General features: G+C 45.5%; 1 protein-coding gene across 16 annotated transcripts in view, besides 2 other annotated features; it reads left to right on the top strand.

The window, feature by feature from the left end:
- ZNF516 (zinc finger protein 516) overlaps positions 1-26,328 on the top strand; it is a 138,738-nt gene that overhangs the window by 55,225 nt on the left and 57,185 nt on the right. The window lies entirely within an intron of this gene.
- Positions 7,576-7,745: an enhancer, noted in NCBI's record as "experimental_50380 CRE fragment used in MPRA reporter constructs". NCBI's record gives its function as "activates a minimal promoter by MPRAs in K562 erythroleukemia cells, with activity observed for both the introgressed and non-introgressed 18:74145491 variant alleles {active_cell/tissue: K562}" and the evidence as "EXISTENCE:reporter gene assay evidence [ECO:0000049][PMID:34662402]".
- Positions 17,449-17,950: an enhancer, noted in NCBI's record as "H3K27ac hESC enhancer chr18:74135201-74135702 (GRCh37/hg19 assembly coordinates)". NCBI's record gives its function as "activates a minimal SCP1, AML or CMV promoter by ChIP-STARR-seq in primed H9 embryonic stem cells {active_cell/tissue: H9 hESC(primed)}" and the evidence as "EXISTENCE:reporter gene assay evidence [ECO:0000049][PMID:30033119]".

The following is a 26,328-nucleotide window of genomic DNA, read 5'->3' as shown; positions in this document are numbered from 1 at the left end:
GGTTCCTGCTTCCAGGTAAACGTATACTCAAGTAGGCTCGCTCATTAGCCCCTTACCCGGTGGCCCTTTACTCAGCTAGGCCTATGCTCAGGTAACCCTGGGACTCAGGACTCCACACCCGGGTGGCCTTGTGCCCTTGCCCAGGGTCCCTGTGCCCAGGGTCCCCCACACCCAGGAATCTGTCCCCAGTATGGATCTGGAACTGGCACTTTGGAGTGCAGACACAGACACCCATCAGCTCCCCTTGGAGCCCCTTTCAGTGTTTGCATATACTCACACCTTTGACCTCTAGGGTTGATGGTCTCACCTGAGCATCTGTAATCCTAATTTCTGAGCAAAGAACACCATCATGGATCCCTTCTGAGACATTCACCCCCTTCTTTTTCTGCTTCAGACCCAGTTCTCACCATACGATGCATGCGCGCGTGCGCGCACACACACACACACACACAAACACACACACACACACTTTCCTCCACTCCAGCTGGGTAGAAGACTATCTTCAAATTGGTGTGCAGTTATAATTAATCTTCTTGGATTCAAGTAACCCTGTGGGTTTAGAGACAGTTAATTGGAACAGATTACTTTTCACATAGCCATGTAAATATTTAAAGATGCTTGGCCAACTTTGTTTTCATAATTCTCCTACTTTCTATAAATTTTAAACATTTTGATATTTCTTTTATTATTTTTTGCTTTGCATAATTGTTTTAAGTGGAAAGTGATGTTTCAGTTAGAGAACTTGCATGTTTCTCCACAAAGCCAAAGATGTTTTTCCCTTCTCTGCAACGCCGTTACTGACTGTTGCTTTTTACCTGGACTGTTAAGAGTGATAGAAATCCAAGCCCGGGGCAGGGCTGTTTATATTCTGTGGTGAAGAAGATGACTGCTGTGCTGTATTATTTCACAACAAAACAGAAGACCGTGTCATTTTTCCTTATTAGAGATTTGGCCAAACCTGGACAGAGTTTATTAGCGTCTTACACAGTGTGTTATGTGAGGGTCTGTTACACTGAAATGCATATTGAGTCAACAAAGATGTAGAAGGCAAGTCTTTTCTCCTGTAGCAAAACTTGTGTTGAATCCACGCACAGGTTATGAGTGTATACATAGATAAATGACTTTTCAGTAATGCGTATTTTAACTTCGCGTTTTAGTCATTGGTCCCCGTGGGAGGAGCAGGGGGACATGGTCTTCTCTGAAAATGCTGTGCTCATTCAATGAACACTTTTGGATTTTTTGAATAATTTGTCATGTGAAACCGGGTTGACCCCATCGTGACCCCTGGTTGACTTCTTTTAAGTTTAATTCTCGGTGTTCTTTTTTTATTTTTATAAATACAGATTTTACTGGTTATGTTCCAGTAATACTCTGTCTACTTTTTGGAGCACATGCTGGACAAAATATTGGGCTAGGACTATGGGTTTTTTTTCTTTTCACTTTTAAGAGAAATATTCTTAATATTTGGAAAAGCTCTTGGGCCTCACTCACCCCATTGATTATGATGGTGGTCACCTGATTCATAGTAAGCTAATCCAGTAGTGCTTTTAGAAATCAAGAAGTTGGAAAGATCAAATGATTCCCATCATAAATTGGAAGGTACTCTTTTTTCAGGCTCATTAAATTTTAGAGACTACTGTTTATGTCTTAAAGACATTATATATATTTTTCTCTATGTGTAACTTTTTGAGAAAGTTAATACAGACCTCAGCTGATTCTATAACAAGACATGTATCATAGTTGAATGTAACAAACAGTTGGTGATAGAATAAATAGGATATTTCAGCTTATTGAGAGAGGACAGAAATTTATGGCTCGACAGAGGCATGAAACATGGAAGAGCCCTGTAGGTGTATGTGGGTCACTTTCCGTAATCCCAAAGGACAGTATCTTTCTATCTAAAAACACCAACTTTTCACTCACAACAGCTGCCTTTAATGGTCTAGTGTAGCAACAAATTACTAATTCATGGATATTCTTTAAGGAGAGAGAGACCGTGTTCCATTGATTTAACTACTCTCAAAACACTGTGATTTGTGGGATTTGGCCCAGGTCTTTCACAGGGCTAGCTTGGAAAAGAAACTGGGTATTTTGAATCTCATATTTAAATCTGCAGCATTCCTTTCTTTTTCTGAAAAAATACACGCAACTTTGGGAAATGCTTGCCTTTCCTGTTACTAAAAAGATTACTTAGTTCTTTAAGTGTTAGGTTATTTTAAATTCTCATGGAACTCTGATGGGATGATTGGTTAACACTGTTAGAGTGTCTGTGTGGGAATTGAGGAACGAAAGATCACAGTGGTTCTTACAAGCAGCAGCCAGCCTGCCTGTGGGAGCACAGTTGAAATTAGAATTCAGATCTATGCGACCATTCCAGTAATACCCAGTTGTGCCATAATTTTGCCCGAACATTTTCTTTGACATCTGGGAATTGATTTGAATGCTGTTTCTGGATCTGGAAATAATTTGCATTATTAGATTAAGTGAAAGAAACTCCTCTCCTTTTTTTTTATGGAACATGTTTCGTCAGTTGAATGTTGCCATCTATTCCTCTGGAAAGTGTTCTGATATTCATGTTACTTTTATCCCCACATAAGACTTGGTCACAGCAGCTCTCGTTATTGACTTAAAATAGTAGAAGTGCAAAATTATGGAAAAAAAGTCAGTCATTGGGAATATGTTACTAGATTTAAATCCTCCACTGAGAAAGAGACGTGGCATGGACAGAAAGTCTACTTTTGGACTTCATAAAAAGTTAATATTTTTAGTAAGAAAGAGGGGTGAAAGGGCATCTAATTGGAGTTTGTAAAAATCAACATTTCCAACATTCCCAAACACAAGTAGGCTCAGGGAGCTTAGAAACCATCACTAAGGAAAAACGAATATTGCTTTGCAAGGAGACATACAAACCTTCAGTGTATGGGCCAAAATAGAATTCTGCTCAGAAAGCATTTAGGCGACTTAGGAATAACAGAAGCATGCAGAGAGGCTGCACATCTCTGGAAGATTTGCTGTCAGAGTTCGTGCCATCCTGAGAAGTGCCTGGACTGGGATGCCTGGTGCCCAGGCCATGGCGGATGCTCTGAGGTGCTCATAATGCACAAGCGGTGCCCCGTTGAGCTGCATATCATTCAAGACTAATTTCACTACTCCCGCTTTTCACCATTTCTTGTCGTGCTAATATCTGTCATGTAAAATCCATACTCCATCCTGTTGAACCCACCCTCACTTTTTAGATACTCACTGCGACTCAATAGATGGGACACCCTCAAGTTTTAGAGGATGTTGTGGGAAGTTACAAGTACAGTTGGCCCTGTGTATCCGTGGATTCCACATCTTTGGATTCAAGCAACCACAGCCTGAAAATATTAAAGAAAAATAGATGTTTATATCTGTACTGAACATATACAGGCTTTTTTTTGTTATTCCCTAAACAACACAGCAGAATTTATAGAGCATTTACATTGCATTATTATAAGTAATCTAGAGATGATTTACAGTGTACGGGAGGATGTGCGTGGGTTACACGCAGGCATTTACACCAGGGACTTGAGCATCCTGGATTTTGGTATCGGGGAGTCCTGGAATCAGTCACCCCTGTCCCACAAAGGACCATTGTGTTCAACTGTTTTTGATCAACATAATGGCAAATTGTATGACTCAATAGAATAAAAAAAGTGCTTGGAACAAGTGCCTTGGTATTATATGCAATTTGAAGAATCAAGGAAAGAGTCTTCAAAGAAAAAAAAAATATGGTCAAGGGAAGGAAAGGTAATTAAAGGAGGAAATGGCTCTACCTTCAGAGTGTCTCACGTTTCCCGTCCCCTCGCTGGCTGCCTCCCTGCCGCCCAGCAGCCCCGTCCTCAGAGCCCATCTTCTTTCCACTGTCACCAGGCGCACTGAGGCTTTTGCTGTAAGGTGTTTGCTGAGCACGTGCTTGGAGGCTGGCTGGCTGTCCGTGCTGGTGCGCTGGCTGTGAGGAAGGCCAGGCTGCAGTCATGCGGCTGGGCACAGAGGTTCAACAACTGTCCTTCTTTCTTTCTGATAGAACACAGACAGCAATTAGAATAGCTTAGGGAGGGTGAGAGACGGTATGTGTGTGTGTGTGTGTGTGTGTGTGTGTGTGTTTTAGACAGGTCTTGCTCTGTCACCCAGGCTGGAGTGCAGTGGCACAATCTCAGCTCCCTGCAACCTCCGCCTCCCGGGCTCAAGCCATCCTTTCACCTCAGCCTCCAGAGCAGCTAGGACTACAGGCGGTCACCACACGTGGCTAATTTTCGTATTTTTTTGGTAGACATGGGGTTTTGCCATGTTGTCCAGGGTGATCTTGAACTCCTGGTCTCAAGCAATCCACCCGCCTCAGCCTCCCAGAGTGCTGGGATTCCAGGTGTGAGCCACTGCACCTGGCCTGGAGGATGTGTTTACCCGTTGAAACAGGATTGAGGGTGAATTTGGCCAGCGGAAGGGAGAATGGAATGAGGGGGTGAGCTGGGAGGGGTGTCTGCCTGTGCGGCCAAGCCTGCTGGGTGTGGGCAACCTTTATATGGTACTTCTTCTAAGCGTTTCTTCAAGGTAGAGCAGGAGGAGCTCTCACAATACCTTCGCGCACTGACCTTGCAGCTGAATCCACTCGCGATGCTGAGTCTCTCGGGGACTCAGCGGTGTCCTGGCTTGGACGCAACACGGGCAAAGCTCTCTCTGAAGCCAAGTCATGGGTTGGGAGGAGCGCTTGTCCTCACACAGTGTTCATCATGGGTCCCACGAGAGGCTCAAAACGATTCAAAGAAAGAGGTTGTGGACCAAGGAGGAGAGAAAACGAGTGAAGTGCGTTCATCAAGGGAAGTTCCAAGTGTAGGCAGGAAATAGCATCCAGTTCAGCTGGGGAAGGAAAGCACACACGGCTGGGAACAATTTCATGGCAAACGCCACTCCATGGCCTGGAGCTGTGGGATGTCCTCATTCTGAGGGGGTCTTGGTGGCATTGGGGCCCTCTATTAAACAGGAGCTTGCAGAATGGGTAAAGGTAAAAAGCAGAAGGCCAGCCCCCCTTAGTATCCAGACAGGTTCATTCGGCCGGGCTCTGCCCAGTTCCTTCGTCGTGCCACAGCCCCAGGCTCATCTTGCATAATATCTAATAAATGTTCACACATAGACTGCTCTGGTGCTCCTGAAGTGCAGGGGTGACAGGCTGTCCTGAAGTCAGGTGCCCCCAAAAAGTGAGAGCTACTGTCCGCCATGTGGCCCATGCCAGGCCTGACAGGGCTCCCTGGGGTGTTTTCCCTAACCAAAAGGAGCCATAGAACATCCAGAGAACAAAACCAGAGTGGGATCTGGTGAGACAGAAATTCAGAAGAACGGAGACCGAGGTCAGGAAGCTGCAGGCCGATTGCAGGCTTTGGAAGAGCTGGCACGGTGTGCCCTGCAGAGGGCTCTCCAGGGCTCTACCTGGAGAGAAGACATCCTCCGTGACTTTACCCTGTACGGAGTTCTGAGGAGTTCCTTTCGTTGGGAGTAAAGTATGAGTTGGAAAACCCTGATATTAAATTCTTGTTTAGTATAAAAATGCAGCAGTGTTCTTCCAGAAAAATATTCAGATGTAGTTGACAGTCACATGCAGAATGCCTTGTGATGTAGTCAGCATCTTAGCAACCGGAGCCCACTCTTAATCCGCGCTCCCGCACACATGAACACGACGGTGATTGTTCACAGGGCCCTGGGTGTCCTCATGTGCTTTCCGAGTTATCAGAGGAAGATTAAATTATGAGGAGAATAGTGTCTCCTAAATACGTTTTATTGTATTCTGATTCTTTCAGCGTTGATAATCTATGCATGGCATGCATGCTGATATTTGCTTGAACAGAGTGCTACATTTTCTGACCTTCCAGAATGAATTTATTAGACTGTGAAAAGCGTTAGACTTCAGAGATTATACTCCGGGGCTTTCTTCCCGCCACTGAGAAATACATGTGGGATGTACGTACTTGGTACCGTGAAACAAACATCAGGCAGACATTTTGGTTTGCCAGGAAAATTCAAACACTTATCTTCTCTCTCTCTTTTAACTCAAGATAGGATCATAGAATTTTCGAGGTGGGAGGGAACTAAGAGGTATCCATTCTATCCTCCCGTTTTATTGGTAAGGAAACCAGGGCACAGGGCAGGGTTGGCTTTTGCCCCATGCCGAATGGTGTGTGCATTGCTCAAACACGGCATCATTGGTGGAGGGCACATGAGCTTGGACTCAGAAGTGTGGATTTTAATTCTCTTTTAGTCACCAAGTCACAGTGTGGTATTAGAAGTTCTTCAGCCCCTGGGAATTTGCAGTGTCCTGCGTTGCAGTGGGGAGGCTGTGATTTCCACCGAAGCTGCTGTCCTTGCTCTGTTTCCTGTGTGTTCCTGGCACACTGTGGGTATCCTGCACACGCACTCTTCCTGTTAGTGTCCAGCTTCCAGCCTGGGAAAGGGTCCCCTTCCTGGTGTGTCCGCGAGGGGCAGGAATGCGTAGTCCCAGGACGGCTCAGATTCTGCATCTGCACTTGTGCCCATGTTGTACGCAGGCCGGGATGTCCCACAGCCACAGCCGTGGTACTCTGTGCAGAAGTCCTGTGGGGTGTGCCGAGTTTCCTTCCTGCCACGTAGGAAGTTACTTAGGATAGACATTCAGTGATGTTCACTGAAAGAGAAGTTCGTGATATTCTCGGACTCCAGAGCCAGTGGATGCGTTTACAGATTCTTATTGGATGGAACAGTTTTCAGCCTTTTCTCTTTGCCTCATATGCTAAACTTCTTTACTTTAATTCTCCTTTCCCTGCTAGATTTGGCATTTTCCAGTCTGCAGGAGGGGTAGTGCTGGATACGACTTTCAGCCCCGAACCTGTTGGGTGAATGTCATTGTTGCTGTGTCGTGAAGAAGTGGCGCTCGGTCCTCCCAGGTGTGACTTGAACTTGTTTCTCTGGCTTGAAATGGAAGGGTTCCTTTTTGTAGATTTCATCTATCAATAGTGAGCAGAAATGCCTGAATTTGGTTCTTGCACCCCGTTCCCGTGAGATAGGGCATCTCATGGACCAGGCAGGATCGCTCCTGGTAAAGAGGGAGGTCTGATTCCACTCCGAGCCGTCAGTTCCTGACCAGCTGGAAGAACGGACAGCAACGGCCAGAGCAGCAGGTGCTGGGTTGGGTAAGGCGTTGCCGAGGGCTTGGTGCACCTGTGAGAAAAGGTGCTGGCGGTCGCGGTGGGGTTTCCCGGCCAGGAGAGGTGTGATGCCATGGAGCGGTGTGCACCCCTGTGGAGCTGGGGACGTGGCACTGTGAGATGATGCCTTGCTGCTGAGCTTTTTGGGAGATTCTAGTCATTCCGACTGATGATTCTGCACCTGCCTGTGTTGGTTGTGTTGTCGCCCTCCTGTATCCGTGATGTGCTGCGACTAAGCCCATCCTTTCTCGATTCTTCACTAGGCGTTTGCTTAACGCACGGATTCCCACCCTTCTGCCCAGCCCTTTGGTGTTCCTCCTTGCAAGCTGAGGTGGCTCCCAGCTCCATATGCATTTCAGCTCTGGCACCTGCCCGTCTTCTCCCCTCTCCACCTTGCTGTGACCCGGATGCTATGCCCAGACTCAAGGCTCCCATGTCTCCTCCACAAGGCCTGAGCGTGCAGCCGCGGTACGGCACCCAGGGTGGAATGCAAACCTGGGCCTCAGGCTGGCCCCATTCCTCCCTGTTGCGTGGACACATTCTTTTCAGGCAGGATGACCCTCTCTGTCCCCAGCATCCGCCTTGCGTCAGGCATCCTCAAATTGCCATCTCATTGAAGACAGGGGCCAGACCTGCTTTTTCTTGAGGGCCCCGCAGGACTCACGCTGAGAACAGTGGCTGGAGCTGCACCTTGATGAATTCTGTTCTTCAGAGTTGACAGCGAACTCCATGGAGAAATGTTGTATTCGGGAGTGGGTAGTTTTGCACGGGAGTACTCAGCGGTCAGTGGTGCTTTTTACTGGATGTCTAGACTCTAGAGATCTTCCTGTCTGATAACAGAAACAGCGATGAACAGCAGTCGCAGCAGAGGCTGGCCTTACAGTTAGTATTTAATGGGAGCATCTCAGAAGCCTACAGAGTCTTCAATGGAAAGTGCCGCATGTGTGGATTTCAGTGTCGTTGCCACTCAGGATGTGTGGACTCAGGATGTGCGGCCAGGTCTCGCTTTTGGTGTTGTTGGACTCAATGGAGTGAGGATTTGGGGAGGTCGCCTTCTTCCCTTCTTCTGGCCCTACACGCCTCGTGTTAGAGCCATGGCTTGGAGTTGCTGTGTCTGGGGCCTTTGTTACTGATCTGTTGTTACTGTGGATGAGGAGCAGAAGTTGGCTAAGCCCTTTCCCAGTAGAGAGTGATGCTAACATCGAGTGACCCTGGGCATGGGGTCCTGCCTGGGCCCCAGACTGTCACGGCAGGCTTCCTAGAGAGAGGTTGGTCAGGCCACTGGATGGTTTCCCACCTCAGTACAGAGGGCCGTGGGCCTGATGGCCTTTGGAGGCCAGAGGATGTGGGAAGATCCATGAGTTTCATTGGCGCTGGGGCCCAGAGAGTGGGGCTGTAGGCTCTGGAGTCCCATCTGGGGCTGCTCTCCACTGAGCTCCAGCACACAGGGCTCAGGTGACACGGAAGAGTGAGCTGTCAAGGACACAGTTGAGTGCATGGTCTCTGTTTCAGCTCAGGTGAGGTGATGGGCCTGGTAAGCAGGTAGTGACGGTGCTGGCCCTTTGCACAACACTGGCATTGAAGGCAGAGGCCGATGGGGTGAGAACGTAGCGGTGGTGCTGGTGCTTTGCACGGTGTTGGCACGGAAGGCAGAGACCTGTGGGGAGAGCAGGTAATGACAGTACTGAGGCTTTCCACAGCATGAGCACTCAAGGCAGAGGCCTATGGGGTGAGCAGGTATCGATGGTGCTGGTGCTTTGCACGGTGTTGGTGCCGAAGGCAGAGGCTGCGGAGGAGGGCAGGTGCTGGAGGACTGGCCATCCCATTGCTTGAGGAGTGCTGTGGGCGCCACATTTTGAGGATCTCTAGATAGATCCCAAAGCCTGTCCTTTCCTTAAGGAGTCCTTCCTTGTTCAACTGGTGACATCTGCAGAGACTATCTCCAAAGCGTCTCATCCACGGGAACTTTGCCATTGGCCCTGGCATTGGTGGCTGCTTAGAATAGCAGACCCTGTCCTGTTCCCGCCAGGGCAGTGGTGGGCGGGGCCGCCTGAACACACCTGGAGGCGGAATGCATGGGGCACTGCTGGTGCACTGCGTGTTAGTCCATTCTTGTGTTTCTGTAAAGGAATACCCGAGACTTGGGCAATGTATAAAGAAAAGAGATTGATTTTGGCCCACGGTTCTGCAGACTGTATAGGGAGCATGGTGCCAGCATCTGCTTTCAGTGAAGCCTTAAGAAGCTTAGGATCATGGTGGAAGATCAAGGGGAGCCCATGTGTCACATGGCAAGAGCGGGAGCAAGAGAGAGAAGGGAAGGTGCCACGCACTCTGAAACCGCCAGATCTCGCGTGAACTCAGCGAGAACTCACTCGTTGCAATGAGCACCAAGCCATTCGTAAGGGACCCATCCCCATGGCCCAGACACCGCCCCTCGGGCCCCACCTCCAACAAAGGGAATCGGTCGCAACATGAGGTTTGGAGGCAGCAGATGTCCAAGCCCCGTCATGCCGGGCACAGGACCTTCCAGAGCAGCCCCTCTCTCGCTGCTTTCAGGATTGACTTCCTGGTATGACTTAGGCTCAGTCAGTTCTTAAAGGAATCTGTGGCTTGCCATTTGATTTGCATCATTCTTAGTCTGCATTTTCATCATGGGCACACTGAATTATTTCATAAGTTTAGACTTTCTTTTAAATGCTTGAAGCATTTAAGTTTTATTTGATAAGTGTTTTTGTGTGTGTGTGTGTGTGTCCTCGTCTCTGGCACAAGTTCGTAATTTTTCATTTGTGTGTATGTGGTTTTTCTTTTTGTGGTTCTTAGATAATTTTCTGTGTGCTGGACCTAATCTGAGGCTAGTTTTTCATGAGGGATTTGTCGGCTATTGATAGGATCCAGTATTTGCATATATAATTTGCATAAGCCTTTGCATATTAAAATGGATTGCCATTTTAGGTCTGTATTTTACTAGAATTTTAAAAAGCTAGGGATATTTGTCTCTGGATTAAAGGTTAGAAAGTAAGACTCCAGTTACTGAGATTTTACCTGATTCTGTATGCATGGTTCACATAGCGATATCCATTTACAGGAGGCCTTGTCTCCTGCTTTCTTTACAAAGGAAGCCATTGATTTGAAAGAAGTATTTTCACAGATTAGTAAGACATTTGGGCGAACTGTTAGCTGCCAAATATGTTCCTGTATAGATGTGCCAAATCTGAGTGTTACTCATGTTCTTTCTCTTAACTCCAGAATAGTTACGTTCAGCACTATGAATAAATTCTCTTCCAAATTTAATACAATTACTGTTTTATTTAATAACCTACTTGGTTACTGAAATGTATCACTTAAAATGATAATTCCACGGTGCCATTTGTTGAGCTGGCCATCCTATAGAAAACTTACATACATGCTTGAATCTCATATCTGAAACCTGATGGAGAATGGCAGCTGCCTTCAAAGTCATGAAATTAGGTTGTTGGTACCTATGATAATCCAGTGATTGATTCCAATATAGACATTATTGGGATAGTTTGTTCATTGGACTGGACAATTAGAGAACATTTTTGATATTGAAATGATGGCCAGGTTTCCAGTCTGACTAGTTAAATTGTGTTTCCTTTGATTTAAAATTAATCTGTGATGTCACTGGTTTTTAAAAATTGATTACTACGTGACTCATGAGAATGTGATTTTTATAGATTATTTCGGTATTAGACTAGGACATGATAGGAGTGGAATGGATTGAAATTTTTTCATTTTTAAGAAATATTACTGGGTTCTACTTTTTCAAAAATGATGGAAGATGGTAGGTCCAGGGCCATGAGACTGAAATCAAGGCCTAAACCTTCGGAAGCATCATGGACAGATAGGGATGTGTTGGTAAGAACCTTGAAATGCAGTTAAAGGTGCCCCCAGAAGGTGGCCCAGGAAGTTCCTGAAGTTCAGGTATGAAAAAAGCAATTGGAAGATACTGGCTCGGGAATTTTCAGAAGCTCTGAACAGAAGGTTCTGGACAGGTTGTGCGTCACACCAGCAAGACAGAGTCTCTGCGGTTTCTATGGTGATAGCCTACACTCCACTTAGAAACAAATTCTTGATGTTGTTTTGAAACCTCAGTAACAAAAGGGCACCGTGTTTGCTTTTGCAGAACAGCCTGGTAGCCGTGCGGTGTCTGGCAGACATTGGATTCCTTGATACCTTTTCCGTAGCCACTGCTCGGCGCATCATTTTCCATTCTGGGTCAGAATTTCCTGGTTATTCTTTCTCGAGTGGAAGATCTTTTTCTTTGAGTTTAAAGATGTCTTGATTTGGGGGATGCTGCTGCTGGTGGTTGTGGAAGTTTCCTGGGCAGTGTGCAGCTGTCAGCCCAGCAGGGCGTGTCTGGAATGGGGACAAGAAGCTGACCTTTCCCTGGTCACAGGGTGTCCAGGGTCACCCACACCCTCCTTTGTGCACTGCTGGCCTTGGTCATCGTCTTCCTTCACTGTGGGCACCTCTGTTCCTCCCCCTACTCCTCTTCTTACTAGAATGGGCAGAGTCAGGAGCCCAGGGGGCATCTTAGCACAAAACACCTCAGTGAGCCCAGAGGCTGGGGAGCGTGGATTGCTGCATCTGGAGGCCACGGCTCTAGGTCCAGTCTCAGAGGATGCCTGAGCTTGTTGTCTTTTATCTGTCCCAAGGCCATGGACAAAATCCCAGGCCAGGAGGAGTCTCCATGTGCCTGCATGTGCCATTGTTGCTCCCCACACACCTGTTTCCTCCTGGGACCCTCAGGCCCTTGGCCCTGGGTGCCATCTGCATCTTTCACTTCTCAGCTCTTTCTGATGCCCTGTGCTGGGGGAGGGGCTTCCAAGACAAGACCTGAGACCCCAGACCCATCTTCTTGGCTCAGGACTCCTCATCCCCTACCAGGTGCTGCTGATCTTGTCCCCGGGAGGGAGAGGGGGAGGCAAGGCCCAACTTCCCCGGGGTCAGCCTGCATCTCGTGCTGACCTCCCTGCCCTGCCCGCTCGCCCTCCTCCTGAGCGGCCTCCTGGCCTCTGCGTGGGCTTCAGGGCTAGCTATGGCAGGAGGAGCTCCCATTTCCTGGGCTAGACCCATGCTAGGCTCCTGGTTTTAGAGTTCTGCTCATCCTTTAGAACATCCACACATCTTTTGTGAACACCTGCACATTGCAAAGAAATCCCGATGGTGAGGAAGTGCTTGGAAAGGAGCGATCCTCCTCTGTTGACTGTCCTTACCGGCCTCACCTCTTCCTGAGAGTTTACTTCTGACCCTCCTAGGTCTTTAAAATGTATTTGCTTGTGTAAGCGTATGTGTAGATTTTTTTCTTGTTTTGGTACGTAGTAAGCGCATTTGATGTGTCTTGTTCCTCAGCCTGCTTCCCCACGTGACAGTATGTCTTGGGAATCTCCCTGTGTGGGCGGAGGACTCTCCTCTCTTGGACTCTTTGGGAGTTCAGGGTGATCTTGTTCTATTTGCCTGTTGATCATTGTTCAGGTCCTTTCCAAATTTCATTACAAACACTGCTGCAGTAAACATGCTGCAGTAAACATGCTGACAACACTTAGGAGGATTTCATGATGGATTTCTTTCTTTTTTTTTTTTTTTTTGAGACAGAATCTCACTCTGTTGTCTAGGGTGGAGTACAGTGGTGCGATCTCGGCTCACTGCAACCTCTGTCTGTCAGGTTCAAGCGATTCTCCTGCCTCAGCCTCCCAATTAGCTGGGACTACAGGTGCGTGCCACCATGCCCGGCTAATTTTTTTTTTTTGCATTTTTAGTACAGACAGGGTTTCACTGTGTTGACCAGGCTGGTCTCAAACTCCTGACCTCAGGTGATCCCCCGCCTTGGCCTCCCAAAGTGCTGGGATTACAGGCCTGAGCCACTGCGCCCGGACCATGATGGATTTCTTTAAGTGAAATTGGTAGTTTCAGGAATTTGCACATTTTATATTTTGATAGGTGCTGCCTGTTTGAATGTAATAATCCTCATGTCCACCAAAAGCTTATGAGTGTGTGTGTTTCTCCATGCCCTCAATAATTCTTAGTATTATAAATTTTCTAAAATTGCCTTTATGAAACAAAAAAAGTGGTATATTTTTATTGCTTTAATTTCCATTTTCTCATTTTTTTTTGTGAGCATAAGAGTGTTTTCATGTTTACTGGCCATTTGTATTTCTTCCCTGATGTACTTGTCCATGAACTTTGCACATTTAAAAAATGTGTTGTCCTTTTCTTGTTAATTTATAGGAACTGTTTATATATCGTGGATTTGATTCTCATGTTTTGAATACGTTCTGTTGGTTTCTCATTTGTGTTTTACTTTATGAAGTCTTTTATTGTAGAGGTTCTGAAACATCAGAATTGTCTTTATGGTTTTTGGATTTTACATATACTTTAGACATTCTCTACCCTACCATTAAACTATTCTCATTGATTCAATCTAGTTTGCTTCATTACATTTGCTTTATTCCACATTGTGTTAACCCATGTAAAACCTCGTATATATTCTGTGAGGTACTTTAAACATTTTCCCATATTGATCTGGTTTTTCCAACAAAATTTATTCAACAGTCAGTTGAGTGAATGTTTTCTGGTAGGTTATGTTATGTTTTCTCCACTGATTTGAAGTAGTAACTTTGTCATAGACTCAATCTTTGTGTGCTTTATCTGTATTTCATATAAACCTCCAGCATAGCCCCATGAGGTGAAGGTACCACTTGTCTCAAAACACAGATAGGAAATCTGAAGTTTAGAGGGTTAAGTAAACTTTCTCAAGATGGTTCCAGTCGTAAGTGTTGAAACCAATAATATATAATAATGTATTATGACATGCCACCAGAGTGTGAAGGGAAGAAGGGCAGGAAGATGGAGAAATGAAGGCTAGGAACTTGCCCTGTGTTCCCGGCATTGTGCCCGTTCTCTCTCTCAGGCTCTTGTCTCCACCCTGATCCTCACCTTTGCAGTCCCTACTCAGGGCCCAGATAGCAGGACCCATGGGCTGGGACTTGGAGGTGGGATGTCTCCATAACCTGTCCATACGGAAAGGAAAGGACCCCGCCTCGGTTCCAGGATCCTTGCTTGCCTGGGAGGAGCCGCTAGGGGTCAGTGTTGTCCATCCAGAGGCCCTGTCCTGTACTGATGATGGGCCACTGAGGCCCTGGAGGATTGGGTTTTTGGGAGATGATGCCGGTGCTCCCTAGCTTTTTCTTCATTTCCTGTGCATAATTTCCACTCCTTCCAGTGAACTAATGATGCTGCACATAGATGAGAAATAATGTTCCCTTTATCCATGCGTATGTGTTGACATCGGCCTTTACACAGTTTTTTTTGGACTCTTGCGGCTTTCTTTAATTCATTCAAATAATGTGTTTGTTTTAGAAGTTAGGGATGCCAAATTTAGTACATAAAAATACATTATTCCTGGTTAACTGTGGATTTTAGATAAACAATAAATACTTTAAAAAAAAAGTTTATGTATGTCCCATGCAATATTTGGGATATACTTACACTGAAGATTCATTTGTTATTTATCTGAAAATCTGTATTTTAGATAACTGGACATGCCGTATTTGAGCTGGTGAGTGTCTTGTGAGTAAACCTTTTCTGGTAGGTTATGTTCTTTTAATGCATGGGGGAAATGTCTGGTCTTGTTGGCTGATTAAAGCCTGTTGAGCACACTCCTTTTGTTTATTACTAGATGGGAGATGTTGGCTACCTCATATCAGCAAAGGCTAGAAGAATAATTAGCTGAGGGAGAGGAGGGGAGACCCTTCAGAGTTTGCTTTCTTTCTGCAGTTTACATTTGTTAATACTTTAAACACGTGGATTAGCTCTATCGAGGGTCAGAACAATGCTTGTGGAAATAGAGATTTAACAGAAAACAGAAATCACCTTCATTCTGTTTCATTTGAATTAAAAAAGTGACTGCTGGCATTTTCTAACATAGCTCTCTAAAAGTTACTTGAATTAGGATGAAGGAACGTACTTGAGTTTGCTATGCAACATGAAGGCAGTCTTATGTTAATTTGACGTCTGAAATTCCCTGTGCCGCGAAGAGCAGCGCTGGGGGGTTTGCCTGCTTGGGTGTCGACGTCAGCTGTCAGAGCAGGAAGCTTGGTTGGGCCTGGGTATTTTTGCACGTGAATTTCTGTGTCGAGGCTCTGCTTGTGTCTCTTACCTGGACCTCGACCCCTCGTGGGTTGTCAGTGACTTGAGTGCCGCATGGGTCCATCACATTTCATTTGCTTTGTGGGACCCTGAAAAATGCAGGACAAGGTCTGGTAAGAGTTCAGGTGTTGACAAAAGACACAGCTCCGACCACGGGGCATTAGGTCATCTGCATGAGCATACCTCCTGAATTCAAAATCGAAACAGCCCCAAGAATTCCTTCGGTCTTCCTGAGACATGGGCTTCCCAGATGTGGAGAAATGTTTAGCCCTGTCAGTGGCATGTGATCTGTGGCCTGTGATTTTCACAAGAGATGGGGAATCAGTGGTCAGGATCGCACAGTGTGTGAGTGTATCAGCCCTCACTGTGATGTGGTTCCTTTGGTGAACACATTTCCTCTGGCTGTAACTTGATTTTGTCTGTGCATGAGCTAGCCTTATTTAGTTTTGATTAAAAAATGCTAAGTGAATATGTGTGGAAAAAATCCGTGGCCAATCACCATTCTTTTGGGAATTCTGTGTCCTGTGCTTGCACTGTTGAAGAATTACTGGCGTATTAGTTGTAGATTCCACGGGGCAAATGGAAAAGGCGTAAAACAGTGGGCTCTTCCCATGCCTCCACTTGCAAAGCGATCTCTCACTTTTTTTTTTTCTTTTTTTTGAGAGATGGGTGTATAATTGATGTAGAAGGTTCTGGAACCTGGTGTGGCTCCGAGATAAGGCCCTTCCGAGTCAGGGGAGGTTGTGACTTCACCTGCCTGTTTTTCAGGGGGAACCTTTTCACCTGCGTGTGTGTGTTTCGGGGGAACCTTTTCACCTGTGTGTGTGTTTCAGGGGGAGCCTTTTCACCTGCGTGTGTGTTTCGGGGGGAGCCTTTTCACCTGCATGTGTTTCATGGGGGAACCTTTTCACCTGCATGTGTGTTTCATGGGGGAACCTTTTCACCTGCATGTGTGTTTCATGGAACCTTTTCACCTGCGTGTGTTTCATGGGGGAGCCTTTTCACCTGCGTGTGTTTCGGGGGAGCCTTTTCACCTGCGTGTGTTTCGGGGGAACCTTTTCACCTGCGTGTGTTTTGGGGGAGCCTTTTCACCTGCATGTGTGTTTCAGGAGGGAGCCTTTTCACCTGCGTGTGTTTCGGGGGAGCCTTTTCACCTGCGTGTGTTTCATGGGGGAACCTTTTCACCTGCGTGTGTTTCGGGGGAGCCTTTTCACCTGCGTGTGTTTCGGGGGAGCCTTTTCACCTGCGTGTGTTTCGGGGGAACCTTTTCACCTGCGTGTGTGTTTCGGGGGGAGCCTTTTCACCTGCATGTGTTTCATGGGGGAACCTTTTCACCTGCGTGTGTTTCATGTGGGAACCTTTTCACCTGCGTGTGTCTCGAGGGAGCCTTTTCACCTGCGTGTGTATGTTTCAGGAGGGAGCCTTTTCACCTGCGTGTGTTTCGGGGGGGACCCTTTCACCTGCGTGTGGGTGTTTCAGGGGTGAAGCCTTTTTACCTGTGTGTGTTTCGGGGGAGCCTTTTCACCTGCATGTGTTTCGGGGGAGCCTTTTCACCTGCATGTGTGTTTCAGGAGGGAGCCTTTTCACGTGCGTGTGTTTCGGGGGAACCTTTTCACCTGAGTGTGTGTTTCGGGGGAGCCTTTTCACCTGCATGTGTTTCATGGGGTAACCTTTTCACCTGCGTGTGTTTCATGGGGGAAACTTTTCACCTGCGTGTGTTTCGGGGGAGCCTTTTCACCTGCGTGTGTATGTTTCAGGAGGGAGCCTTTTCACCTGCGTGTGTTTCGGGGGGGACCCTTTCACCTGCGTGTGGGTGTTTCAGGGGTGAAGCCTTTTTACCTGTGTGTGTTTCGGGGGAGCCTTTTCACCTGCGTGTGTTTCGGGGGAGCCTTTTCACCTGCATGTGTGTTTCAGGAGGGAGCCTTTTCACCTGCGTGTGTTTCGGGGGAACCTTTTCACCTGCGTGTGTGTTTTGGGGGAGCCTTTTCACCTGCATGTGTTTCATGGGGGAACCTTTTCACCTGCGTGTGTTTCATGGGGGAACCTTTTCACCTGCGTGTGTTTCGGGGGAGCCTTTTCACCTGCGTGTGTATGTTTCAGGAGGGAGCCTTTTCACCTGCGTGTGTTTCGGGGGAGCCTTTTCACCTGCGTGTGTATGTTTCAGGAGGGAGCCTTTTCACCTGCGTGTGTTTCGGGGGGACCCTTTCACCTGCGTGTGGGTGTTTCAGGGGTGAAGCCTTTTTACCTGTGTGTGTTTCGGGGGAGCCTTTTCACCTGCGTGTGTTTCGGGGAAGCCTTTTCACCTGCGTGTGTTTCGGGGGAACCTTTTCACTGGCATGTGTGTGTTTCAGGGGGGAACCTTTTCGCCTGCATGTGTGTGTTTCAGGAGGAACCTTTTCACCTGCGTGTGTTTCAGGGATGAGCCTTATCTCCTGCCAGCATATGTTTTGTCACGTCTTGTTGCTTAAATGGTGTTTGAGGCAAGGTACTGTCAGTTCACATTGCGGACTTATTAACGAGAACACGCAAGAAGGGCTTTGTGTTGTTTCTCTCCACACAGGAACTTCATGAACCCTAGCATTTGATCTGTGCAGCTTTTCCTTTCCTAGCTTGTAAAACTTGTGGCTGTTTTCCTTTTGGGAACATATATGCATCCCTTCCCTTGTAAAGAATGCGTGTAAATTGTGTTGTGGACATCCGTTTTAATGGGTCTCTGTTAGATTGTGCTGCCAGCTGCAGAGTGCTTGAATCCTGGGGTCTCCGAGTGTTCCAGGTGAGAGTCCTGCGGTGTGCACAGCCCAGGGTCTCCATGCAAACTCCAGGTGGCCAGACGCATTAAGATTTAGAGTTGCGGAGCTCAGTGTGATATTGAGAGTACATCTTGTCTTCCTTTATCAGGTAAAAATGAACCGGTGACAGAAATAAATTATCTTTGCTTTTCTTAAGGATTTGTATGGAGGAGAATTAATTTAGGTGGTTTTTCTTATCTATTCCAGTTTGTCATTGTTTACGATTGGAGATTTCTTTCTAACCTGTTCTGCCCACAATATATGCAGTTTCTGCTTGTCCTATCCTCCAGATATATGGAATTCATATCTTCTCCTCCCATGCCTCCCCAGTGCCCCATGTCTGCCCCCCATCATCCCGTCCCTGCTTCTTGCCCCTTGGCTGGAGCCCTCCATTTATTTGCTCTGTGCTAGGGTATGTCTGCTTCATAACCCCTTTCTGTTTAAGTGGTGGTTTCTGGGTATCTTTTAATTCTCTATCTCTCCATAAATACAGAGTCCTACTTCTCTTATAGCCTTAGAACTGCCTCATAATTAGTCGATTTAATTCTGAGGTTGTGCTTGTTGTTTTAACTGTCTTTTGACCTATATTTCTGAATCCTACATTTAGCTTCCGGAAAGTTAGGGCAGTCACGTGTTTGCAGGTGCAGCTCTGCTCCATAGCCTGAGTGTATGAGTACATGGTCATCATCCGTCAGGCCCCTGGAGACCGTGGTCTGCTTCTTACTGCCGCAGTGCAGGGAGTGCCGAGGGACCGGCCCGCTCTCCGCAGGCTCTTCTGCGTGGCTGTGGCAGGAGCTGTCTCCTGGTTTGCTGGGTCAGGGCCCTTTCCAGGAACAGTTTACTGTGTCTTATTTAGTGCTTGTCCTCCACATCTCTAGCTGATGGTAGTGTCTTCCTGAATTCTAGGCAACTCTACCAAATTCCAATTGGGTGATACTAGCATAGATACCCTGGCTGAATTTTTCTGGGATTTACCTTCACTTGCTCATGTAGCCATGGAGATATTTAAAATAACGATAATACTCACTGGTAGTCTGGTGCATTATTTAATTTCTAAGATTAAAAACAAAAAACAAAACAAAACAAAACACTTGCCTTAAAATGGCCAGAGTCATACAGTTTGATCCATGTGTGAGGCAGAGAAATTCCTGATGACTTGGGCACCAGACCCGGCCCGCTGTGTGATTCAGATCTGTGGAAACTTTTTCAGAAACTTGTCTTTGCTTTGAAAATACTTATGTTGTGGCACTTTGTACACTTTCTTACTGTAGGTAAAATCAAAGAAATGTGAGGTGTTGGCAAAACATAGGTGATACTTAGTGTAAAGTAGTGCCCTCTGTAATAGTGAAACATGAGGTTTATTTTGGGATGTTGTTCACCCATAGGACCTGCTCCCTGTGGCTTGGATGTTTTGAAAAGACTCCAGGAACTTAGTGTGGAATTCTTATGCCCCATTTCCCCTTCAAGCAAACCCTTGAGTTGTCTAGCAGGTTCTGTGGAGAGCAGGGGGAGGGACCCGGTGGCAGCTTTGCAAACACAGAACTCACGGGGGCTCAGCCCGGGCTCTGCTTTCCAGCTCTGAGACAAAGTCTGGCCTCACGGACTGGACCAGGATACCAGTTAGGACGTGGGACTTGTTCCTTAAAGCTCGAAGCCCTGGAGCAACTGCCAGCACAGCGTCTCCATCACCTAAGGCCTAGCCCGCCATACCTCTGGCAGCCAGGACAGCAGCCTCGGAGCCTCAGCTGCCCTGCTCCTCTTGGGAGGTTTATGACTTCTGAACTTGACTTCACACCCTGTCTCTAGAGCCCTTTTCCAATATGCACCAGCCTAAACGCAGAATGACTTCCTAAGTGTAATTCATCTTGCTTTGTAAACGTGTCAGTAGTTGACCCTGAACATACATATTGTGCATAAGAGTGGTGTTTGGGATGCATGTTGATCTTTGAGCAGGAGGCGCACACTGCATTCTAGGGCAGGAGCTGTTAGAAATTGTCCACGCCCAGGTGCTCAACTCAGAATCACAGTCATCATGGGACATCTCCTTGTTTGTTCTCTTCCATTTCTCTCCTTTTGGGCACCACCAAAATTCATGATTTATAAAGCAAATCCATTTTTTGGTCTGTTGGTGTTTTCAAAAGACATCACTAAGGAAATTCAGTTACACTTATTGATATTGTGGATGAAGTACCCATTCATGGACTAATCTGGGAATTTCACTACTAAGCATAAACTTTCCTGATGAAAGTACATTTTTACTTTTGAACAGCAAGTTTATAAATACTGTTTGTTTTTTTTTATATATATAGAATATGACACATTCAGGAGGTGTAACCCCTCCCCAGCCCAGCATGGCAAGGTGAAATAGAGGCTTGGGAAGCATAAACTTTTACAGCCACAGGAATTGCTTTTACCTGCAAGTTTTTTTGATCATCTGTCCTACTTAGAATATTTTTTTAAGTATCCACTGTTTTCCACGAAATAACATGCCCCACTCCCCAATTTCCACATACAAATAGTCCTGAGAATAGTGTATATATACCTAAAATGAGCAGCGTGGTTGACTTTACTCCTTATAGTCTAGTACTTTACTGATTTTAGCAGTTTGACAAATGACCTCCCTGGAATTCAGTGTATGGTAAGATGACCTTTACAGAAATAAGCAAAAAATAGAGACAGCAATGAGGGCCGGGGGTAGAGAGCAGATTTTGGGCCAGAGGGTGAGAAGGACACTGGAGGAGTTTGGATGGTCAAGTAGACATCATAGATTTGGACAATGAGCATCTGCAGTGCTACACCTTTTACACCATCTCCAGCTGCTTACTTAGATCTTAAGCTTATTTACACCATCTCCAGCAGCTGACTTAGATCTTAAGCTTACTGCAGATGTAAGAGCAGTGATAATTGACTACCAACAGTGAAAACCTACAGAAATGCAGGTATTAAATGCCTACTAAACAAAAGCACCTCAGCACCTGGGGCTGTTGTGGGAGCCATGGGATCCCCAGGTACCTGGAGTCGCTCCCTCATGATCACCTGTGTGAGGTCAGTAGAAATACCAGGGCTGCCTCTCGCTCCACATGCGTGGGCCTCACACACAGTGGGGACTCCTGGCTTCCAGGCTGGGAATGAATATAAAAGGAGCAGTGTTTATGAGACAAGTAGTATTTTTATTGTATATGTTCTCATGAACTTGTATTAGTCTCTTCTCATGCTGCTAATAAAGACATACCTGAGATTGGGTAAGTTATAAAGGAAAGAGGTTTAATGGATCACAGTTCCATGTGTCTGGGGAGGCCTCACAATCATGGTAGAAGGTGAAGGAGAAGCAAAGGCATGTCTTAATGGCAGCAGGCAAGAGGGCTTGTGCAGGGGAACTGCCCTTTATCAAACCGTCAGGTCTTGTGAGACTTATTCGCTGTCACGAGAACAGCACAGGAATGATTCAGTTACCTCCCATCAGGTCCCTCTCAGTACATGATGGAATTATGGAGCTACAGTTCAAGATGAGATTTGGGTGGGGACGCAGCCGGATCATATCCAACTGTTGTGAAATTGAAGTATTTTATTTATGTATTGTTATATTACGTGCAATTTAATCGTTGTAGAAAATGCAGATAAGGGAAAAGAAAAAGAAGGTATCACTGCTCATAGGTAACGATATTTTGGTCTGGCTGCACCTTCCTACGAATATCCTTTGTGTATACACATTTGATACACGTGTCCCTTTAGTATGTTTTTCTCTTGAGTGTACACACATACACCTAACACATCTGGAAGATACTTGTCTCTATCCCATTGTTTCAACTTAATACATTTGAGCTTTTGTTGTCCACGTGTATACAGCCTCGTGTATAATCCTGGACAATCCTGAATTCCCCCAGGGTCTCAGAAAGTGGGGATGTAACCCATTTCTGGCATTTAGAGGCTCAGGTTTCCAGAGTAGGAGTGGCTGCGACCCACAGTGTCTGTGCCTAACGGATGTGTTTTATTGGTGAGATGGTGTGAAATGGAAGTGGACCCCTATCCTGTCAGGGTCCAGCCCCAGCTGGGCACCAGCTTGCTCTGTGTCTCACATTTTTCGTCTGCGGAATGAGGTGTTTGGGCTGGAGGAAGTGGGCACCCATCTGCCCTGCAGACCCTCTGCCCTTCAGGCTTCCATTCCTTTGCTTATCCTAGGTCACAAGGCTTTTTAATTTCTACTTACTAGCAAATGGGATTTAACATCATTTGTTCAATTTTGGCTTTAAAACTAAATTCATTTTCCCCGGCTTTGCATTGCATTATAGCGTTTGAAAAAGGAAATTGAGATTATAATTACATTTAAAATAAAGTTATTGTTAAAGGATTGTTTCCACTTTCTTTTTTTCACATTTAGAGGTAACCCAGAAGCACAATCTTCTATTTCTTAATGGTTTTTTTTTCATATTTTAAGCCTGTATGTTTGCATCAGTGACCCGGGGAGTTAGGATGCAGCGTATGTTACAGTGCGTGTCATAGTGTGTGTTACAGTGCGTGTTATAGTGTGTTACAGTGCGTGTTACAGCGTATGTTAGTGTGTTACAGCATGTTGTAGCGTGTTACAGCATGTTACAGCATGTGTTAGTGTTAGTGTGTGACAGCATGTTACCGTGTATGTTATAGTTTGTTATAGTGTTACAGTGTGTGTTAGTGTTACAGTGTGTTACAGCATATGTCACAGCGTGTTATAGTGTGTTAGTGTGTTACAGCATGTTACAGCGTGTGTGTTATAGTGCGTTACAGTGTATGTTAGTGTGTTACGGTGTATGTTAGTGTGTTATAGTGTGATAGCGTGTGTTACAGTGTGTTATAGCGTGTGTTACAGTGTGTTATAGCATGTGTTGCAGCGTGTGTTACAGTGTGTTACTGTGTATGTTACTGTGTATGTTGTAGCATGTGTTACAGTATGTTACAGTCTGTTACAGTGTGTGTTGACAGTGAATGGATGTGGTGGGGAAACACAGTTGTGGGGCTGCCACAGGCAGTGAGAAGGAGAAACGTAGAATCCTCATATTCAACTGACGTTTATTTTTACCGAAAAAGCTACTTATAATTCAATTTTAAAACGTCACTGCTATACTTGACCCTCTGGCCGAGAATCCTTTGTAAGATAACTAGCAAAATTGTGGAATCTCACATTTAATAAGTGACACTCTTTTGCATTTTGTATATTTAAATATCATTTTTCAGAGGTTTAGATGATTTAAATATTTCTTAACTTAGGGCTTTCTGAAACTTATGCAGAAACTCAATGGTAGTCGTAATTCCATAAAGGAAATGATACATATATTTGTAGGAATAGTAAGAAAATGTTGAGTGTGGTATTTTCTCTAATTGAAAGCTACCAAGTTAATATAGTTAATTACATCAAAAAGGGAGAAAAATCCTTTGAAGTTTTATTACTTCTTGGCTTTCAGTAACAAAGCAGTATCAGATGTAAATTCTGAAATAGGTTTTTATGGAAGATTACTTAATATGATACATTAAGGTAAAAATCCGTGCTTGGATTATATACCTATTTAAATATGTTTACAAAGCATGTGCTAGAAAAATTGGTAAATTACTTGTAAATATCTTTGGTTAAAAACCAAAAGTCATTGATGTTTCCCCGTTATTGAAGGCAGAAGACTTTTGAGATTTTAAAAGTTTCTCAAGATTCCTGGCGGTGTTCTTACAGCTTTGGTTTCCACGCTTTCATGGGTTAATAAAATGTTGAAAGAGCCGGGAGGAGTGTAGAGTAAAACATTTAAAGCTAAAATCGTGCACCCAGCTTTCTGCCCTTGCCTGGGACAGGGAGAGCCTGTTCTTTGAAGTTGAGAATAAGGGACCAGATGAGCCGTTCAGTAGCCGCTGCGGCATCGAGGCATTCGGAGTTCAAAGGCATCTCACTGAGACCATTTGCCAAGTTTCATTTCAGAACTTCACAGCAACCATCAAATGGTTGCAAGCTGAGAAGCATTGTGAAAATCTGTTTATTTCTCAATATCCCAGATCGCCCTGACCCTGTATTCTCCAAGTTATTTATGGAGGTCTTTGGGTTATGTTTCCCAGGCATGAGAACAGCTAAATATTTCTGCATTCGTTTTTTTTTCTTTTTTGTTTGCTTATTAACAACAGCGGTAATTTGAGATTAAAGTCCCTCCCCCCTTTAATTTGAGGAGGGACAATGGAGAAATGAAAGAAGGATATGTTCTTTTATCTAAAATCAATGAGGAAGGAGGCAGAATTTAAGAAGGGGGAGAATGTGTTTTAAATGGGTATTTTCAATTTGCTTTTCGCCATTACTGAAGTTTCTCAAGGTTTTATTTTATATGAGACTTTTAAACCTTAGCTTCAACTATTGTAAAGGCTTAGGTGTGTAGGCGATGGTCCTCACATTGACTATTCAGAGATGTTTCTGATGAATTCTAAACTAGGAACTATTGGTTTCTGGCTCTTGAAGGCCTGCAGAAAATCCAAATCACAATTTCCTGAACTAATATTTGTGCTTGGATTAAAGTTTTATTTGAAACAGGATTAAATATTTGACTAAAATCCCCAAACCCCCAAACAGTAAGTTTGGATAACTTATACCTCCTTGGTTATTAATGGAAAAATCTCATGACCTTTGACATGGTGTAAAGCATGGGCGACATTTCAGCGTAGGCTCTGCCCAAGAACATCACAGCATTCTCACAGACTTGGGGAGCATCACTAGCTTTGTCTAAAGGTGGTGAAGGCCAGGGCGCTTCATTCCTGGTGTGCGATACGAAAAGGGGCAGTCCTGCCTGGGGAACCGGCCGCCTCTTCCAAGGAGGACCAAAGTGTGGTTTCCAAACATGATTTTCTTAAAATGTCTTACTGCAAAGTGGTTTTCATTACTAAGTGAACATTTGTGTTTCCTGAGAGTTTTTCCTTCACTTTCAGTAAGATTTAGTGATTCTGTGTGCTACAAGTTGACCTTTTATTCCAAAACAGTTGCACACTTAGTACAGGAGGATGTATTGTTAGAAACAGCTTACTCTGTTAGTATAAATTAATGAACTTCATTTCCAGCTATTGAAAACAGTTGCTAACAGTATATTGACTCATTTGCAAACTGAGGTAATTGGTAGTTGGAACTGAAGCAAGTATTTAAACCTGTAGCTTTTACAGTAAGAGAGATGCTAACTTTCGAAGATACACATTGTTAAGGGACCCAGGGCCTCATTTATGCCTCACGGAACCTGAGTGGTGCAGACTTATCCTGAATCAGAAACCCTGAACTCTGTTGAGGACATGCTGCATTTTGAGCCGGTTTCTCTATGCAGTTGAAGTGAGAGAGATGCAATTTGCAGTAAGCTTGTATTTAGAAGCATTCTTTCCTGGGCAGGAGGTAACTTGGTTCAAACAGCAAAACAGGCTCTTTCCACGGCTGTTTCCCCGAGAACCCCGACTCCTCCACTGCAGCCGTTGCACTTCAGAACCCACCTCCGCAGAATCCAACGGAGAGGCAGGTTCTGCATGGCCACCGCTGAGAGCTGGCTGTGCCCTCTTTGCACCCCCTTGATCATGGAATATACATCCACTTACTTACAGTCTAAGGCGATGGCTCAGAGGCGTGCACTTAGTGGTTGGAAAATTCACATCTAGTAAAGTTAGATGGGTGTCAAAGCCACAGCCGGGCTTGCCGTGACAACCGTCAGTGCCAGGCCATTGTCACACACATGAGCTGGCCAGAGAATAAGTGCTCTGGGAACACTCACGCCTTATCAGTTCTGTTCTGTTAAGAGCTCTTCTCAGCTAGCTCTAAACTACTATTTTCTTTTTCTTTTCTTTTTTCCTCTTTTCTTTTTCTTTTTTTGAGACGGAGTCTTGCTCTGTTGCCCACGCTGCTGGAGTGCAATGGGGCGATCCTGGCTCACTGCAACCTTCACTTCTTGGGTTCGTACAATTCTGCTGCCTCAGCCTCTCCAGTGGCTGGGACTGCAGGCATGTACCACTACACTTGGCTAATTTTTGTATTTTTAGTAGAAATGGGGTTTCACCAGGTTGGCCAGGCTGCTCTTGAACTCCTGACCTCAGGTGATCTGCCCACCTCGGCCTCCCAAAGTGCTGAGATTACAGGCGTGAGCCACCGCATCCAGTGTAAACTACTATTTTTTTGTATTAGAACCCAGAGCTGATCCATTGTGGTG

Source organism: Homo sapiens, chromosome 18, assembly GCF_000001405.40.
Source record: "Homo sapiens chromosome 18, GRCh38.p14 Primary Assembly".
In the NCBI taxonomy this organism is placed as follows: Eukaryota; Metazoa; Chordata; class Mammalia; order Primates; family Hominidae; genus Homo; species Homo sapiens.
The sequence above is the reverse complement of the archived record's forward strand: the minus strand, read 5'-3'. Positions and strand labels throughout refer to the sequence as shown.